The sequence below is a fragment of the Homo sapiens genome, chromosome 1 (assembly GCF_000001405.40).
Source record: "Homo sapiens chromosome 1, GRCh38.p14 Primary Assembly".
Lineage (NCBI taxonomy): Eukaryota > Metazoa > Chordata > Mammalia > Primates > Hominidae > Homo > Homo sapiens.
In genome coordinates, this window is record NC_000001.11 from 19,879,324 (window position 1) to 19,896,669 (window position 17,346).

Here is a 17,346-nt window from a genome sequence, read left to right on the forward strand (position 1 = left end):
GCCGAGATCATACCACGGCACTCCAGCCTGGGCAACAGAACAAGACTCCATCTCAAAACAAACAAACAAACAAAAAAACAAAAAAAACCCCAAAGTTACCAGATACAGTCCAAATTGCCCTCCAAAGTGGCTAGATAAATTTACCTCCCAACAGCAGTGTGCGAGAGTTCTCATTTTCCCATACCCTTGATGGTATGTTCTTGAAAGTCCTAAAGCTGCATTTCTTCACTAAAATTCTGTTAGTCACACTTTTTACTAATTTATACTGCCATCCAATGAGGTTTGATTACTATTATTATTATTTTTGAGACAGGGTCTTGCTCTGTCACCTAGGCTGGAGTGCAGTGGCACAGTCATACCTCACTGCAGCCTCAAACTCCCAGGTTCAAGTGATCCTCCAACTTCAGCCCCTCCCGAATAGCTGGGACTACAGGCATGCATCACCATGCCCAGCTAATTAAAATTTTTTTGCAGAGATGGGGAATCTCACTTTGTTGCCCAGGCAGATCTTGAACTCCTGGGCTCAAGCAATACCCCCACTTTGGCCTCCCAAAGTCCTGGGATTACAGGCATGAGCCACTGTGCGGGTCAATGATTCTTTTAATTAACTCTAGCGAAGTGGGCAGAGCATTCATTTTATTTACAAGTACTATACTCCTTCCCTTTGGCCTTTAAATATAATTTATAGGCAGCATTGATTTGCACTTAGAGACACTGTCTAACACAGGTCTCCGCTGAGAAGAGAAATTCGCCCATTCAAAATCTGTGTGTGGGCTAAAGGCTAAGGGCTTATGCCAGAAAAGATTTTTTGTTTGTGTTTTTGTTTTTGTTTTGAGAAGGAGTTTCACTCTTGTTGCCCAGACTGGAGTGCAATGGCGCAATCTCGGCTCACTGCAACCTTTGCCTCCCGGGTTCAAGCGATTCTCCTGCCTCAGCCTCCCCAGTAGCTGGGATTACAGGCTGGCCTCGAACTCCTCACCTCAGGTGATCCGCCCGCCTCCACCTCCCAAAGTGTTGGGATTACAAGCGTGAGCCACACGCCCAGCCAAAAAGATTTTTACAAGACGGGCAAGTGTTCGCTTTTCTATCAATATGTTAGCAGTCTGTATTTACTTATTTGCTGGTGAGAAACCTTTCTTCCCTGGTTTCTAAAGTTTGAAAGTCTTTGCCCCTGAGCTCATGAGATTTCCAGAGAACTGATTCAAACAACTTCATTAAATAGGTACTTACTTCATGCCTGGGGCTTTACATTTTTATTTAATCTTTACAACTCTCTTTTGCATTCTTATTGTCATCAGAAAAATGCAAATCAAAATCACGATGAAATACCATCTCATGCCAGTTAGAATGGCTTTTGTTAAAAAGAAAAAATAGCAGATGTTGCTGAGGCTGTGGGGAAAAGGGGAACATTTTTACACTGTTGGTGGGAATGTAAATTAGTTCAGCCACTGTGGAGAGCAGTTTGGAGATTTCTCAAAGAACTAAAAATTGAACTACCACTCGACCCAGCAATCTCATTACTGGGTCTATACTCAAAGGAATATATATCGTTCTATCAAAAAGACAGATGCACCCGTATGTTCACTGCAGCACTATTCACAATAGCAAAGACATAGAATCAACCCAGGTACGCATCAACAGTGGATTAGATAAAGAAAATGTGGTATATATACACCATGGAATACTATGCAGCCATAAAAAAGAACAAAATCATGTCCAGGAAGAGGGGAGAACAGCAACATGGATACAGCTGGAAACCATTATCCTAAGTGAACTAAGGCAGAAACAGAAAACCAAATACTGCACGTTCTTATAAGTGGGAGCTAAACATTGGATACACATGGACACAAAGATGGGAACAATAGACTCTGGGGAATACAAGAGTCGGGAGGCAGTTGGGGGAAAGGGTTGAAAAACTACCTATTGTGTATTGTGTACTTTGCTCACTACCTGGGTGACAGATTCATTTGTACTCCAAACCTCAGCCTCACGCAATATAGATGGGGTTTCACCATCTTGGCCAGCTGGCCAGGCTGGTCTCGAACTCCTGACCTCAGGCGATCCCCTGGCCTCGGCTTCCCAAAGTGTTGGGATTACAGGCGTGGGCCACTGCACCTGGCCTCAGTTTTTGTTTTTGTTTTTTTGTTTGTTTGTTTTTTGAGATGGAGTCTCGCTCTGTCCCCCAGGCTGGAGTGCAGTGGTGCAATCTCGGCTCACTGCAAGCTCCGCTTCCCGGGTTCATGCCATTCTCCTGCCTCAGCCTCCCGAGTAGCTGGGACTACAGGCGCCCGCCACCACGCCCGGCTAATTTTTGTATTTTTAGTAGAGACGGGGTTTCACAGTGTTAGCCAGGATGGTCTCCATCTCCTGACTTTGTGGTCAGCCCGCCTCGGCCTCCCAAAGTGCTGGGATTACAGGTGTGAGCCATCACGCCCAGCCTGGTCTGTCTCAGTTTTAAAACGGAAAGTCCTGCATCCCAAGAAAACCTCTAGTCCAGGCAAACCTAGGTGGGTCGCTCTAGGATGGAATTAGGATTTCCAGTGGTCTTGGACAGAAGGGCGACCTCTCCCTTGAGTTACGAAGGAAGGCGGAGAGATGAAGGGCAGGATTAAATAAACAAGTATGCGGGCTTTGGAGCCAGGGCAAAGCTCTGCCTTTTAGCTGTGTGATCTTGAAATTATTTAACCACTCAGATTCAGTTTCCTGTAATTTGGGGATAATTAAACAAGAATGAGCCGTGTGAAAGTGCCTATCCAACTGTAGTAGGCTCGCAGCAAGAGTTTAAATCGTTTTTATTCATCTCCGGTCCTAACTTTTGCCGCTGCTCTGTGTTCCACTCTTCTATCATCTTTAATTTCTCTGCTTGACTTGTTCCTGCTTTGTTCTCTCTGGTCCCTCTCCGGTCGCTCCTGCCACTCACGTTGAGTACCATCCACCACTAGAGGGCGGAATAGAACAAACCAAGATGGGTGCCCCTCCAGCTCTCTATGGCGTCTGCTCGCCGAGCCCCGCAAAAGAGGCGGGGATTCCATCATGTGACCGGGGTGCTGGGCGCCGGCGCAGGCGCGGTTGCTGCGTAGTCGTCGCCGGGCTCCGTTGCCCGCGCTGTTTTACCTTCCCAACGCTTGAGGCGGACGCTGGGGGGTCCTGCGCCTTTCCCTCCTGCCGCTGGGGACTGCAGGCTAAGGCCATGTCCCGAAAGCAGGCGGCGAAGAGCCGGCCGGGCAGCGGCAGCCGGAAAGCCGAGGCCGAGCGCAAGCGGGACGAGCGGGCGGCGCGCCGGGCCCTGGCCAAGGAGCGGCGGAATCGGCCGGAGTCTGGCGGCGGCGGCGGCTGCGAGGAGGAGTTCGTCAGCTTCGCCAACCAGCTGCAGGCCCTGGGGCTGAAGCTGCGGGAGGTGCCGGGGGACGGGTGAGGCGGGCCGGGAGCGAGGGAGGCGGCGCCGGGGGACGCGCCGGGCTCGGCCTGGCGACCGTTGCCCGCTCGCGTCCATCCATCCATTCATTCGGGCGGCCCGGGCGCCTCCCGCGAGCCAGCCACGCTCCGAGTGCAGGGCGTCCAGCTGCGAGTGAGGCGGACAAGCCCCTCGCCCCGAGACGCTCGCGGGGATCCCAAAGGGTCCTAATCATGGCAGACGCCGCGAGCGAAATAGAAAGTGGGTGCTGAGACCGTATATGGGAGCAGGGCCACTGGATTGTGGCCAGGAAGGGCTCTCTCAAAGGTGACATTTAAGCTGAGTTCTGAAGGAATGAGATGGAGCCAGGCATTGGAAAAACAGTTATCATGACGATAAGACCAGTTGAAGGAGTTTGAGTAAGCCCCACTTGGTAGAACGCTTTGCCTCCTTTGAGTCCTTGGTTTTTGGGTGGTGCCCCCATTTACATTTGTGAAATTAGGTCGCCTGTTTACTGAGCTGAAGGCAGCTTCTCTAATTCTTCCTTCCATGGGCCTCAGTTTCTCTGTAAGCAAAGGTGCTTCCCCAAGCTTTCTTGGGACTTAGACTGGATCCAGGTCCAGCTTTCTTTAGGGAACGCGGAGGGGGAGAGTGGGGAGGAGGAAGAAAATTAGCTTCAAGAAAGGGGATATGGCTCCAGGAACATGGATGGAAGAAGGAAAAGGGTCAGGAAGAGGGGAGAACAGTTAGGATCCCCATTGCAGGGGCAGGTAAAAAGGGGTCTGGTTGTCAGCTGTGTCACTTTGGAAGAGAGAGTGTTAATAACAGCCTGGCTTTTGTTTTTTTCCTCCCCGTATTTGAGTGCTCAGATCCTGCAGAGGGAAGACTAAAATGAAATTAAAGACCATAAGGAATTGCCTTAGTTCATTATTATTGTTATTTTGTAGAGACGGTGATTTTGCTGTGTTGCCCAGGCTGGTCTCGAACTCCTGGCTTCAAGCGATCCTCCTGCCTCGGCCTCCCAAAGTGCCTAGATTACAGGCATGAGCTACCACCCCCGGCCAGGAATTGCCTTAGATATTAACTGCAGAATAAGGTGTTTTAAAAATTTTCACATTACATTGCAGCTTATTGATTAAGACTGTGAACTGGTCCTAATTTCCCTTTCCCACCGTTCCTGTTTATGCTCATTGCTTCAGGCAGATTGGATTTCTTTTTGCTCACAAAGAGTTCACCACACTTTGCTGCGTTGCTGTTTTTGCTTAAGATGCAGTTGGAACTTGATTACATTTATTCACCATCATCTGGCAAAGTGCTTGGTACATGGAAGGCAGTCAGTACGTTTTTGCTGAATGAAATATAAAAATAATAGAGGGAGGTCAGCTAGCCTAAGCATAAGCCCAAGACACCCTTATAGAAACAGAAATACCAATTGAATACAGTGGAATTGGCGTGGGACATTGGGGCTTTTCCTTGCAAATGATTGGATTGCTTGTGTCTGCTATACTGGGTATGGTATTCTCAATGTCAGGGTGCCCAGGAAACTGAAGTACTCAATAGAAGGTTACTTATGAGGAGGAATTAGCACAGGGAGTTGTAAACTCTTGAGGGGGCTTTCATAAGGTTATGGGAAACTTTGGGGGTACTACTTCTGCTCCCTATCCCCACACCCCCATACACACACAGCATACTTTTCAAGTTAATTCAGCACACCTTAAGTAGGGTGCTGGGAATATGTTGATGACTAAGATACTTAAGGACTTCATAGCCTAAGGTAGAAACACGTAACAGTGGGTCTCAGCTTTTTTGGTCTTAAGATCTCTTGGCATTCTTAAAAATTACTGAGAAACCGAAAGAACTTTATATGGGTTATAGCTATGAGTATTTACTGTATTAGAAAGTAAAACAAAGTTAAAACACAAGAATACACACACATTCCATTAGCTATCAGAGTGATGACTTCATGCATCAGGTAGCCTCTGGAAAACTCCACTGCACTTGTGAGAGAATGAGAATGAAAAAGGTACATTACATCTTAGTTTTGAACTCACGGATACCCTGAAAGCATATCAGAGACCTTCCCACATCTCCGGTCCCTTGAGTCACACTTTGAGAACAGATGATACAAATAATTAAAATATAGTTTGATATATTTTTAGTAACAGTGACTGATTATAATGGTACTATTGAGAAGGAAAAGGCTACTACTCTATGAATTGGCCAGGAAGTCCTTCTCGTTCATTCGGTAAATACTCATTGGATACACTGCTAGATGCCTCTCAGAGGGTGTCATGCTCTGATTGGGTCATGAAGGACCAATAGGAGTACACCAAGAGAACGGTCCCATCTGAGAAGGAGTATATATAGAGGCACAAGGACACGATGTTTTTGGGAGATCTACAGGTTGTTTAGGGTGACGGGTAGTGTAGGGCACAAGGGTAGAAGTAACGGGCAGTGAAGCTAGGCTCCAGAAACCAGCTTGACTGGAGTGCTCATGTCTCTCTTCCAAGGTTCCTGTTATTCGGACAGTGTTAGATAAAATGATCGTATTTCCTCTTGTGTGGGCTTCATGGAGCTAACCACCTTCTGTTCACAAGTTCTTCACATGAGTTCCATTAGCTGGACTGTGGTTCAGCCCTCGTCAGTATCCTAGTCCTTTCGAATGTGGTGATGACAGACTTTATCACTGCAGGGGATGGTGTTTCCTGTGTATGTGATGGGTTGGCAGGTGTCAACAGATTCTTCTACCCCCCTCAGACGGAGTCTTACTCTGCCACCCAGGCTGGAGTGCAGTGGCACAATCTTGGCTCACTGCAATCTCTGCCTCCTGGGTTCAAACAATTCTCTTGCCTCAGCCTCCTGAGTAGCTGGGATTACAGGCACCTGCTACCACAGCCAGCTAATTTGTTTGTATTTTTAGTAGAGATGGGGTTTCACCATGTTGGCCAGGCTGGTCTCGAACTCCTGACCTCATGATCCATCCGCCTTGGCCTCCCAAAGTGGTGGAATTACAGGTGTGAGCCACCGCGCCTGGACAACGGATTCTTTTATTAATGTTTATTAAGGACTCAGGTGAAATATAATGAAGTTAAAGACTATTAAAAAATAGTTGACATCTCTAGCGTTCCCTGTTTTCATTCAGATTTGATTACAATCTGGAGTAGCCTGATACAGTATCTATGAGCATGTTCATTGTTGGCAATATGGTACCTGTAGCATTCTGGAACCTGAGGGGGTTTAGGGATGAATTAACCAATATCCTGTAATACAGCCTTTACATGGGTTGAGTCAGCTTAGTGTAGATTAATCAGGGAGCTACTTAGAGGGTTTTGTAATGCTTCCTGGACCAGCTTCATATTTCACGTGTTGTCTGGAAGGTGGACCCACATAAATTGGATTCATTTTTCAAAGCAAGAAAGAAATAGTTTAACCTTGATGTTTTCCTTAAAAACATGATTGGCTATAGTGTGAAAAGAATGTATAACTCTATTTATTAGGCAGTACAATATTAACATCCCTCTGAACTTATCTAGTTGGGTCTTACTAAATGTAGTTCTGAGTTACATTACTCATTAGCAGTGTTCTAAAATTGAAACATTGAAGAATCACTAATTTTAGCTGTTTATCTTATTACTAACAAGTAGTTTATTTTTTAGTTTTGTTTTTAATATTGCAGGATCACAGTAGTAGAAGGGCATTCACACATCATCTTGTCTAATTATTGCCTGTGTCACCTGAACAGCAGTGCCATCTTTTGTGCCTCACTCAGTGGTTTTCAGTTGGGTGCCATACTAGAATATCTGGGGAGGAACTTTTGAAACAATTCAGGGCCTGGGCTCTCCCCTAGATCAACTACATCAGAATCTTAGAGTGGGGCCTGGTTATTGATGTTTTTTAAAAAAAAATTTACAGATGATTCTTATATGCATCCATAATTGAGAGTGACTGATTTAGAGTCTAGATGCTCAACTAGTGTTTCTCAAACTTCAGTATGCAACATAACCACCTGGACTGCTAGTGAAAACACCTGGAAGGGCTACGTTGCTGGGCCCCAACCCCAGAATGCCTGATTGAGTAGGCCTGGGTGGGCCCCAGCATTTTCATTTCTAACAACTGCCCAGGGGATGCTGATGCTCCTAGTCCGGGAACACACTTTGAGAATCAGTGATCTAGATCAGCGCTGTCCAGGGGAAATAGAATGTGAACCACGTATGTGATTTAAAATTTTTCTAGTAACTACATTAAAAAGAAACAGGTGAAACTAATTTTAGTATATTTTATTTAAGCTATTGTATCTAAAATACTATTTTGACATACAATTCAATATAAAAATTATTGATCTCTCATATTTTCTTTTTCTTTTTCTTTTTTTTTTTTTTTTGGAGACATTAGAGTTTGTTGTTGTTGCCCAGGCTGGAGTGCAATGGCACGATCTTGGCTCACTGGAACCTCTGCCTCCCAGGTTCAAGCGATTCTCCTGCCTCGGCCTCCTGTGTAGCTGGGATTACAGGCATGCGCCACCATACCTGGCTAATTTTGTATTTTTAGTAGAGACGGGGTATCTCCGTGTTGGTCAGGCTGGTTTCAAACTGCTGACCTCAGGTGATCCGCCTGCCTTGGCTTCCCAAAGTGCTGGGATTACAGGCATGAGCCACCGCACCCGGCTGATGATCTCTCATATTTTCTTATATGACCGCTTCAGAATCTAGTATTTTACACTGATAGCACACCTCACTGTGGATTAGCCACATCAGATGCTCAGTAGTCACATGCGGTTAGCAACCACTATTAAACAACACACATCTAGACAATTGCTGTGAATTGCTAGTTATAGAAATTGGCAGAATCCTGAGTCTATATAGTCTACCTCCGTAGAGCTAAGGTGAAATTACCTTTTATTTGCCAAAATCTATGTCTCTGTGGCTTCCAGGTTTTCGTTTTATTATACAGGTATAATTTTAATTTCACATGACAGTTGGAGGTATTGATCACGTCCCCCTGAGCCTTCTTTAGGCCAAACATCACTAGTAGTTCTTCATATTGTATTAAAGCCACATCATTTATCTGAATACGTCTCTCTTAAAATACAGTAACTAGAATGGTACCCAGTACCCTATCTGGTCTGACCCCAAATAATAAAACCTTTTCCTTTTTCTGCACATTTACTATTATTACTGCAGTCTAGAGAGCACGTTAGGTTTTTTGGTGCGTGTGTTGCAATATTGTCTAATAGTAAATTATTGCGCACTCAAAACATTTGCGTGCTCTTTATGTAATTGGTTGTTTTTGTGAACTCAAATGCGAGACCTGCCATATATCCCTATAACACAGTGGTTCTCAAGCAGGGATGATTTTGCCCTCCAGGGGACATTTGGCAATGTCTAGAGACATCTTTGGTTGTCACAACTGATGGGGAGGGAGGTAGTGATGTGCTACTGACAGCTAATGGCAGAGGCCAAGTATTCTCCTAAACTTCCTACAGTGCACAGGACAGCCTCCCACAACAAAAAAATGATCCTGGAATGTCAATAATGTGGAGATTGAGAAGCCCTGCTATAGGTAATGGTGAGAGTGTGAACTCAGGAAGTGGCCCAGATCTCCTAGAGGCCCTTTGGGCAGCGGTGCTTTGTTCTCATGAGTTTCTTGAGTGCTCTTATTGGGCTCACCTAAGGAAACCCAGGTCACTGGAGTGTTTGTTCATTACCTTGTAATCCTGTCAGAAAAGGAAGTGATTTGTCTATTTTGGCTTGTTTTGGGTGAGCTCAAAGAAAGTTTGGTAAGTAATGAAAAGCATATTAAAAAATGTAACAATTAAAACTCTTAAATATTATTTTTAATTCTGCTGCCTAGGGGTAACTATGGCTATCATTTTGGTGTTGACATTCGAGCGAGAGCCACGTTATTTGGACTTGGATCCTGGGCCTACCACTTACTAGTTTTGTGACCTTGGGCAGGTTTCCCCTGAGGGATGGTAATAGGACCTATCTCAGAGTTGTGAGACACAACATGTTTAATACATATAAAGTGTTTAGGACAGTCCCTGGCACATTGTAAGAACTATTTAAGTGGTTGTTTCTGTGTGTTTTCTTGGCATACGTTTGTGTGTGTTTCTGTGTCTGTGTATGTGTATAGTGTACAGATGAACTTGGTTGAGTTCATGTGGCATATACAGTTCTACACCTACTTTTTTGGAGAACATTTGCTCATGTTATTAAAAGTTCCTAGCAAACATGTAACTGTAGAATACCATGAATTTTGGTACATTAAATGTAAAATAACTACATAAATTTGTGATAAATCACATCTCTTAAACTAAATTCAAGAATAGGCTAGTGGTGGCAGATGCTGATTAAGAAAAGTTTGAGGGAAAAGCTTGACATTTAAATTGTTTTATCGATTAACTTACTTTTCTCCATGGTTGAAAAAAGACTGCCATTGTCAGATTTTAGCAAGACACCTCAGTCTAGCCTACAGAACTCTATATTCCACTCCTTCTAGAATCTTGTCTTAGATTGTTGGAAAGCTTCTTGGTTTTTAATTTATAGAAGCTGTCTTAATTCTCCCCTCCCCTGCAAAAAAAAAAAAAGTATATATTCTTATACATTAGAAGAGATTCCAGCCTTTCTATAGCTTTCTGTTGAAAATTCACTTTTCTGAGTTGAAAAACAAAACCCCCTTTTTTCCTACACATTTAGACATGAAATCTTTCTGAAAGTGATGAGTTTATACTTTGGAATTACAGTATCATAGTTTTTCATTTGGAAGAGTAAACAGTTGGGTGTAAAACTGGACAACTGTTTGGCTTCAGAATTGTTTATTTCTGTAGTTTTAAGGATACCAGATTGTGTTTGTCTTGTTTGAGTCTCTGTGTATCTAAGCCTCTGTGTTTGTGATAGTTCGGAATTTAGAAGCCTTTGAGGGGTTTGAAAGTAAAGATAACTCTTACAGTTTATTACCAGTATTTTAATTTTAGAGAAACAAAATGTGGTGTTTAAAGTTTTCATTTGGCAGGAATAACAATGGCATTGTTGCTCCCTGGGTGCTAAGTGAGGAGGCAAGGAGGAAGTGTCTTTCCATAGTACAACTGTTTGTTGTCCAAGTGCTTTCCTTCTCATGACTTTCTCCACTATGTTCTTAGGACTCAAACAGAGTATTGTTCAGTTGTTAGTATTGGCAGCTTGACAAATTGCTATTTTTTGGGTACTATTTGTTAAATGAATGATTACTTAGCTGGGTAGCTGTAGTGGAACTTGTTTTAGAAAAGAGGCTGTAGATAGGACATGATTTTGGAAGAGGATCTGTAAATCATAGCCCTTAGGCATGGAATGGCCTATAAGGTCTGGACCTTGTAGTAAGGTGGTTAGTGTATCACCGGCTCCACTTGTTGAAGCAGCTGAGGCCCAGGGAAGTTTGATGACTCTCCTGAGTCAGCCAGCTGGTACATGGGGAATAGAATCCTTGTTTGCTGCCTCTCAAGAAGGTAATATGGTTGAATATGCCCTCATGCTGTCCCCCGTGGTCTTGGAAGAATCCTGGACTATTAGAGTTGAGTCTTTACCTCTGTGTGCACAAAATATTTCCATGGATGATCTGGCATGAAGCATCATTGTTTTAGACGAACTAAGTTCATTTTTGAAAGGTCTTGACTCGTGTTGTTGTTTTGACAGCAATTGCTTGTTCAGAGCTCTTGGTGATCAATTGGAGGGACACTCACGAAATCATCTCAAGCACAGACAGGAGACAGTGGACTACATGATAAAGCAGCGGGAAGATTTTGAACCCTTTGTAGAAGATGACATTCCTTTTGAGAAGCATGGTAGGTTCACTGTGGGACATTGTGTCCTTCAGGAGTAATGCATTGGGTAATTAAGTCCACTGGCATCCTCCCCCCTCCCAGCCAAGGGTTTGGTTATATAAATCACGACATTCATTTATTCAAGAAATATTTGTTTGCCTACTTGGTTATCGGCAGTATGCTAGGTAGTTGGGGATCAGTAGGTTTAGCTGTATATGCCCTTAATAAACATGATGGTATTAATTGACCTGAAAAGCGATTCATGACTTCTTACTCTGTGGGGTGGGAAAAGCAGGCTATAACATAGCTTGTATAGGTTGATCCTATTTTTAAAAGGTATACAGACACAGTAGGAAAAGTCTGGAAAGATACTAACATTTTGTTTGTTAATTCTTAGCTTCACTTATTTTTCAGAAATTACTCATTCTCTTTAAACTTCTATAGAAGGGAGATAATAATAGCATCTATCTCACAGGGTTTTTGGTGAAGATTAAATTAGATAACAAAATTAAAATAAGCCCTTAGTAAGCGTTAGCCATCTGGGGATGATGGGACTATGGTATTTTAAATTATCTTTTATAGACTTTTTCTGACTTTTAGATGATCATGTATTACTTTTAAAATTAGAAAAACCAATAAAATCATGTTAATTTCTCACCCAAACCCCAAACACAATCTGTTTTCTTTGAGGCAAGTCAGTTAGTGATTTTAATTGGTTCCTATTTAATAGGCATAGATCTTATAGAAAATGCATATGAACTTGTAAACTTTAATTTCAACAAATATTTACTGAGGATCTACTGTGCTTGCTGCTGATATGTCTTACAAATGGCATTTTCATCACAGGGCTTATAGTCTTTTCTGTCTGTTATCAGGAAAGAGAATTGATCCTTTGTTTTAGAGAGCTAAGTCTGGAGGCCATGCCAAGAATGGATGGGGAGAGAGACTGATAAAGGAGACTAGTTAGAAGGTCTCCACACTGGCCAGATGAGAGTAGAGGAGGTCTCCATCAAGGTAGCTACTGAGGATAATGAGTAAGGCCCAAACCAAGCCACACTTTGGCAGTATAATTGACAGGACACATTGGAGGTGAGGAGGGGAGAGGGAGGAGACAAGAGTGATTCTGAAGTTTCTGCTTAGGGAATGGGTAATTGGCTGTACCGTTAGCAAGAGAGAGGGCAGCAGGAGGGGGACATTTGGGAGAAAAGGTATCAGTGATCCCAAAGTGTTTCCCATTCCTTACTAGGAAAGAACTTACTCAGTAGGCACCAGACACAGAGCAACAAAACTTCCAATGGGTGGTTTGTACCAATCACTGAGTTCAGATGGTCCCTCTTCCTGGGATTACTTTTTGGCTAGCAGATATGCATAGTTTACTGGATAGTCAGCAGTTTACAAATTAAATGTTTGTATATGGGACAAATTTTGTAGTTTAGTGCTGTACGAAATGAATTGTGTCATTAATCCAATGAAAACATCATTTTGGATGAAACGGGTTTTTAGTTTGTGATGTGAAACTCCACTTTGAACACTGTCAGTGAAGATCACATGGTGGATTTTGGGGTGTTACAGGATAGGGAACTCAAATCTTCGGTTGCCAATGTGATAGTCACTTGAGATGAACAGTGGAAAGGTGTTTTCTTGAAATGTCACTATGCATGCCTGTTGCTTGGAGCTGCTTAAGAATTTGAGCATCACAGAAGTAAGAAGTCACTTTGACGGCCAGAGCAGAAATGAAAAGAAACCTGGAAGTCTGCACATTCTCTTTGTGTGTCAGTTGAAGGCTTGGCTTGTTACATTGGTGAGTCTTGAGTCATAGTTACCTGTTTTTAATGTCAGTGTGCTGCCTACCTTGTTGTACTGTGAGATTCTCAAGGGCAGGGACTGTGTGTCTTTGTTTTGCGGTGTGGCAGTGCCCGGCATCTGGTAGACATTCATAAAGTGAATAAATGAATGGTTCACTATACTATTAAGGACCTGGTCACCCTTGCATCTGGCTGTATCTTTAGGATTATTCTTTTCTTTTAGACTGTGGCTTCAGAGAATCAGCAACATCTTTCCCCCAACTGTACAAGTATCCAGGTCAGAACCTGAGTATTCTTAATGCTTATCTTCCTCCCTTCTCTTACCCGTTCATTACATGTTATCACTCTACCTCAGCAGTTTTTCTTTCACTGCTACTACCCCGTAAAATCAGACCTCTGTGGCCATTTGCTTAGATTTCCTCCATACTGTTCGGTATCATTGTCTCTTGATTTCCTCAGTCTGTTTTCTACATAACAGCCAGAGGGGGATCTAAATGTGTTTTTCCTCTGTATAAAAGCTGTTGATGACTCATCTATTGACCTCAGGATAGAGCCCAGACTTTTTAGTTCTTCATGATCTGGGATTTTCTCATTTCTCTGTCCTCATCTCTTGCCATTCCCCCCAACATTTTCTCACTTCCTCCACCTCTCCATCTCAGCATTCTCAGTTCCTGCCATATTAGAGTTCTCTCTCTCTCTCGTGTCTGTCTCTCCTCTTCTTAGAACATCATCCATTTCTCCTGTCTTAACTCTTCCTTGTCCTTTGGGTATTAGCTTAGTTGTCTCAGTTGAGAAGCTCCTCTGATACACCTTACCTCCCGCTCCTCAATTCCACGTTGGCTTATGTTCACCACCTGGAGTTAGCCAAACTGCAGGGTTCGAGAACACAGTCCTTGCATGACTTCCCTCAACTTTTGGTACCATCTACAAGTTGGGGTCTCCCAGAACCTCCCTTAGGTTCCATAATATGGTAGTAGGACTCACAGAACTCACTGAAAGCTGTCATGCTAACAGTTACGGTTTGTTACGGGGAAAGGATGCAGATCAATACTACTAGCCAAAGGAAGAGATGCATAGGACAGTCTGGAAAGGTTCCAGACACGAAGCTTCTGTTGTCCTCAGGGCATATTCTCCTCATAGCATCTGTGTGTGACAGTACACATAGAATATTGTCACCTGGGGAAGCTCACCCTAACTTTGGTGTCCAGAGGTTTTTGTTTTGTTTTGTTTTGCTTATTGATTTACTGCATGTCTAAGTGGTTGAACTCAGTCTCCCCTCTCACCCTATCACCACCACAAAGGTCTGATGCCAGATGTGGTGGAGAGGCCCGTCATGAATAACAGACACTCTCATCACCTTTGGGAATTCCAGAGGTTTAGAAGTGACCTCCCAGGAGCCCAGGATAAAGGCCAGACCTCTCTTTGGGCAAGGCCAAATTCTTACTGCACATGCCCTTCCTGAAGTACTTGTGCATCATTAGTGCCTATCTTGTTTGCCCCTCACTGGTTGTGAACTCCGCGAGGGCAAATTGATGGAGTGGCTGAGAGCCAGGACCTTGGCATTGGGCTGCGTAGGTGAAACCTCAGCTCCACTGTGTACCAGCTCTTTGACCTTGGCACAGTTTTCAGCTATTCTGCATCTGAGTTTCCTCATGTATAAAATGGTTTGTATAATAGTACTTGTCTATGAGATGTGATTAGATCAGTGCTTGACACATAACAACCATTCACTAATGCAAGCTGCTAAGATTACTGTGTTTATTGTTATGTTTCTAGTGCCTTTTATTGAGTTAGTATATTGGAAGTAATCAGTAAACATTTATTGCAGAAGAAATAAATGGATCTTTGCTTTATGAATGACTAGTGTTCTTCTGAGTAGCAGTCTTGTATTGTTCAACTAGCTAAATTCCTAGACTCTGACAAAGTTAATGGACTTCTCAGATATATATCGTTGTTTCTTATTATTTGGAACTCAGTAAATACCAAAGCATGTTTGCATTTAGATTTTTCCACTATAAAGACGTCATTTTTCTTTCCTATTTCCATGCAGTGGCCAGTTTGGCAAAGCCTGGTACTTTTGCTGGCAATGATGCAATTGTAGCCTTTGCAAGAAATCATCAGTTGAATGTAGTGATTCATCAACTTAATGCCCCTTTGTGGCAGGTAGGTCACCTATTTAAACATTTATCTTAAGCTCTTATTTCTAAGTCAGCTTTGGGAATATCCGAAGATGAGGGGCTTGACCTGTGAACATTGAATTATGCGGAGTAACTTGGTCTACGAGCCTAACCAAAGACAAAAATCTTGTGATGGCTCAGAAGTAATCCCTGTGCTATGTACAAATGGAGTCCGGAGTATAATTTAGAAATCTTTTAAAATGCTATAAATATTCAACAGTCAGCTAATTGGGCAGGTTGGGGACAGAGAACCTAGTGTGGAAACACAGGCTGTCACCCCCTAAAGTCAGAGTGCTGCCTGTTGCTTTGTACCTCAGCTCCTAAAGACTGAGCATGTGGTTTCTGTTAATTCCCCACCCACTCTGCCCTGCTCCACCACTCACCGCTTTCTCACTTTTTCTAATTAAAAAGTTAAAATACAGTACTTGTAGAAAAGTTAGAAAATTGAAAAAGCTCGTAAAGAGAAAAAAATTTTATTAAAAATTATATTTAAAATTTTATTCAATCACCCAGAGAGAGGTTATTGCTGTTAATGTTTTAGTGAGTATTCCTGTCATTCACACACACTTGGCTATAAAAACATTGATACATAACTGGAAAGGAACATATCACAATGTTTTTACACACTTTTAAAACACATACACACATGTATCCATATCCACATATATACGGACACTTCTGTGTTATTAGCATAAAGGTAACAGTGCCCTTTTTTTCATATGACACCTGCATATATTCCTTTGTAAATTGCTCAGTCATAGCCTTTGCTGATTAAAAATAGGTTTATAGGGATATAATTTACATGTAGCAAACTTCATCCTTTTCCAAGTATACAGTTCTATGTGTTTTGACAAACACAGTCATGTAACCACCACTACTATCAACACAGACTAGTCTACTCTCGAAAAAGTTACTTCCAGGCTCTTTGTACTTTGTAATCACTGGCCCCCTCCCCCAATACCCAGCCTCTTGTAGCCCATTCTCTGATTTGTCCTTATAGTTTTGCCTTTCCAGAATGTCATATTAAAGAATGCAGCCTTTTGTCCCTGGCACAGTGTCCTTTTAACAAAACTATGCTACAACAAAGTAAGATAGTGCAGGGATGGTGAGAAATTTTACCTTATGGGGATAGAAGGAGCAGGAGTGAAACAGTATCTGCTTGTGTTCTTTGGGGCAGTGTTGCGGATGTCCTGACATCAGGGTACCAGATAGAGCTATCATATTTTCCATGGGGTTCTGTTTTCCAAGGGCGATGTTTGAGCAAAAATACTGGTTACCCCTTTGTTCTATTTTTTGTCTTTAAACTTACACTGTTTTGCAGAAGTTAACAAAATCATTTGAATACACAGCATAATGACCCTCACCTTGAAGGGGAATACTCACTACCAACTCAGTAATCAGCTTGCCTTTTCCTCCATTGATGACTTTTTTCCCAAAGTTTCTTAGTTACCTAGGTAGTTGTGGAAGACATTTCTGCATAGGTAAATTTTTTTTTGAATTTATTTCTGTAGTGTTCTCTTTCATAAATTCCTGAGCATTGAAAGTACATCTTTTTAAAATAAATTTACTAATATTTCCATTGGATCCCCCTATGTCTTCCTACCCCAGTGAAGCATCTTATAAAATTTAAGAACTGAAACTGCATTGGTTGCTACTTTCATGGTTATGGGCTCTTTCATTAATAAAGAGTAGGCTTATACTCACACCATGGAGATATTGAAACCTACATTTTTTTTCTGGTTATAATTGGAATATGTGCTCCTGTGAACAATCTAGATGTATGTAACATAGAATGTGAAAGTCCTCTGTAATCTGCCCGTGAAAGTCACAGTTAACAATTTGGTGAATATTCTTCCAGTTAGGTTTTCTATTCATAATATATATATATATTATTATTATTAGGTATGTAAGTGCTTTAGGGATTATGTCAAAGATTCTAATAAACTGTTTACTTTCCCATTGCTCTTCCTGGGAGACAAATGGTGCTCTCTATTTTGTATGTGTCTAAACCAGACTCTCTGCACTTGAGATCTGCGTATTCTACTGGAAAAGCTTCCACGCTACTGACATCTAGACTTGTGTGCTTCCTGTTTGTTCCATGGTTTTTGCTTTGTCTTTAGACCATGGATACTGTTTAAAGTAAGGGCAGTATCTTACTATGTGTGATTTTCAGTA

The 17,346-nt window shown here is 42.5% G+C and overlaps 1 protein-coding gene and 1 long non-coding RNA gene across 9 annotated transcripts in view, besides 2 other annotated features; one reads left to right on the forward strand and one right to left on the reverse strand.

Annotated features, from left to right (window-relative positions):
- LOC105376823 (uncharacterized) overlaps positions 1–9,841 on the reverse strand; it is a 28,954-nt gene extending 19,113 nt beyond the window's left edge. For both annotated transcript variants that reach the window (XR_947028.3, XR_947027.3), the window contains exon 1: positions 9,801–9,841. This is a non-coding gene — a long non-coding RNA (uncharacterized LOC105376823). The remainder of the gene's footprint in view (positions 1–9,800) is intronic.
- Positions 2,856–2,905: an enhancer, noted in NCBI's record as "active region_308". NCBI's record gives its function as "activates an Ori minimal core promoter by ATAC-STARR-seq in GM12878 lymphoblastoid cells {active_cell/tissue: GM12878}" and the evidence as "EXISTENCE:reporter gene assay evidence [ECO:0000049][PMID:35858748]".
- Positions 3,072–17,346, forward strand: part of OTUD3 (OTU deubiquitinase 3) — a 30,551-nt gene continuing 16,276 nt past the window's right edge. For 4 of the 7 annotated variants that reach the window (NM_015207.2, XM_005245793.5, XM_005245792.5 and 1 more), the window contains exons 1-3: positions 3,072–3,411; positions 11,062–11,210; positions 15,045–15,157. In NM_015207.2, coding sequence (NP_056022.1) covers positions 3,191–3,411; positions 11,062–11,210; positions 15,045–15,157 — 483 coding nt within the window. In that variant the 5' untranslated portion in view covers positions 3,072–3,190. The other 3 variants (XM_024454320.2, XM_047415806.1, XM_047415825.1) reach the window with 3 other exon arrangements.
- Positions 3,276–3,615: a silencer, noted in NCBI's record as "silent region_362". NCBI's record gives its function as "represses an Ori minimal core promoter by ATAC-STARR-seq in GM12878 lymphoblastoid cells {active_cell/tissue: GM12878}" and the evidence as "EXISTENCE:reporter gene assay evidence [ECO:0000049][PMID:35858748]".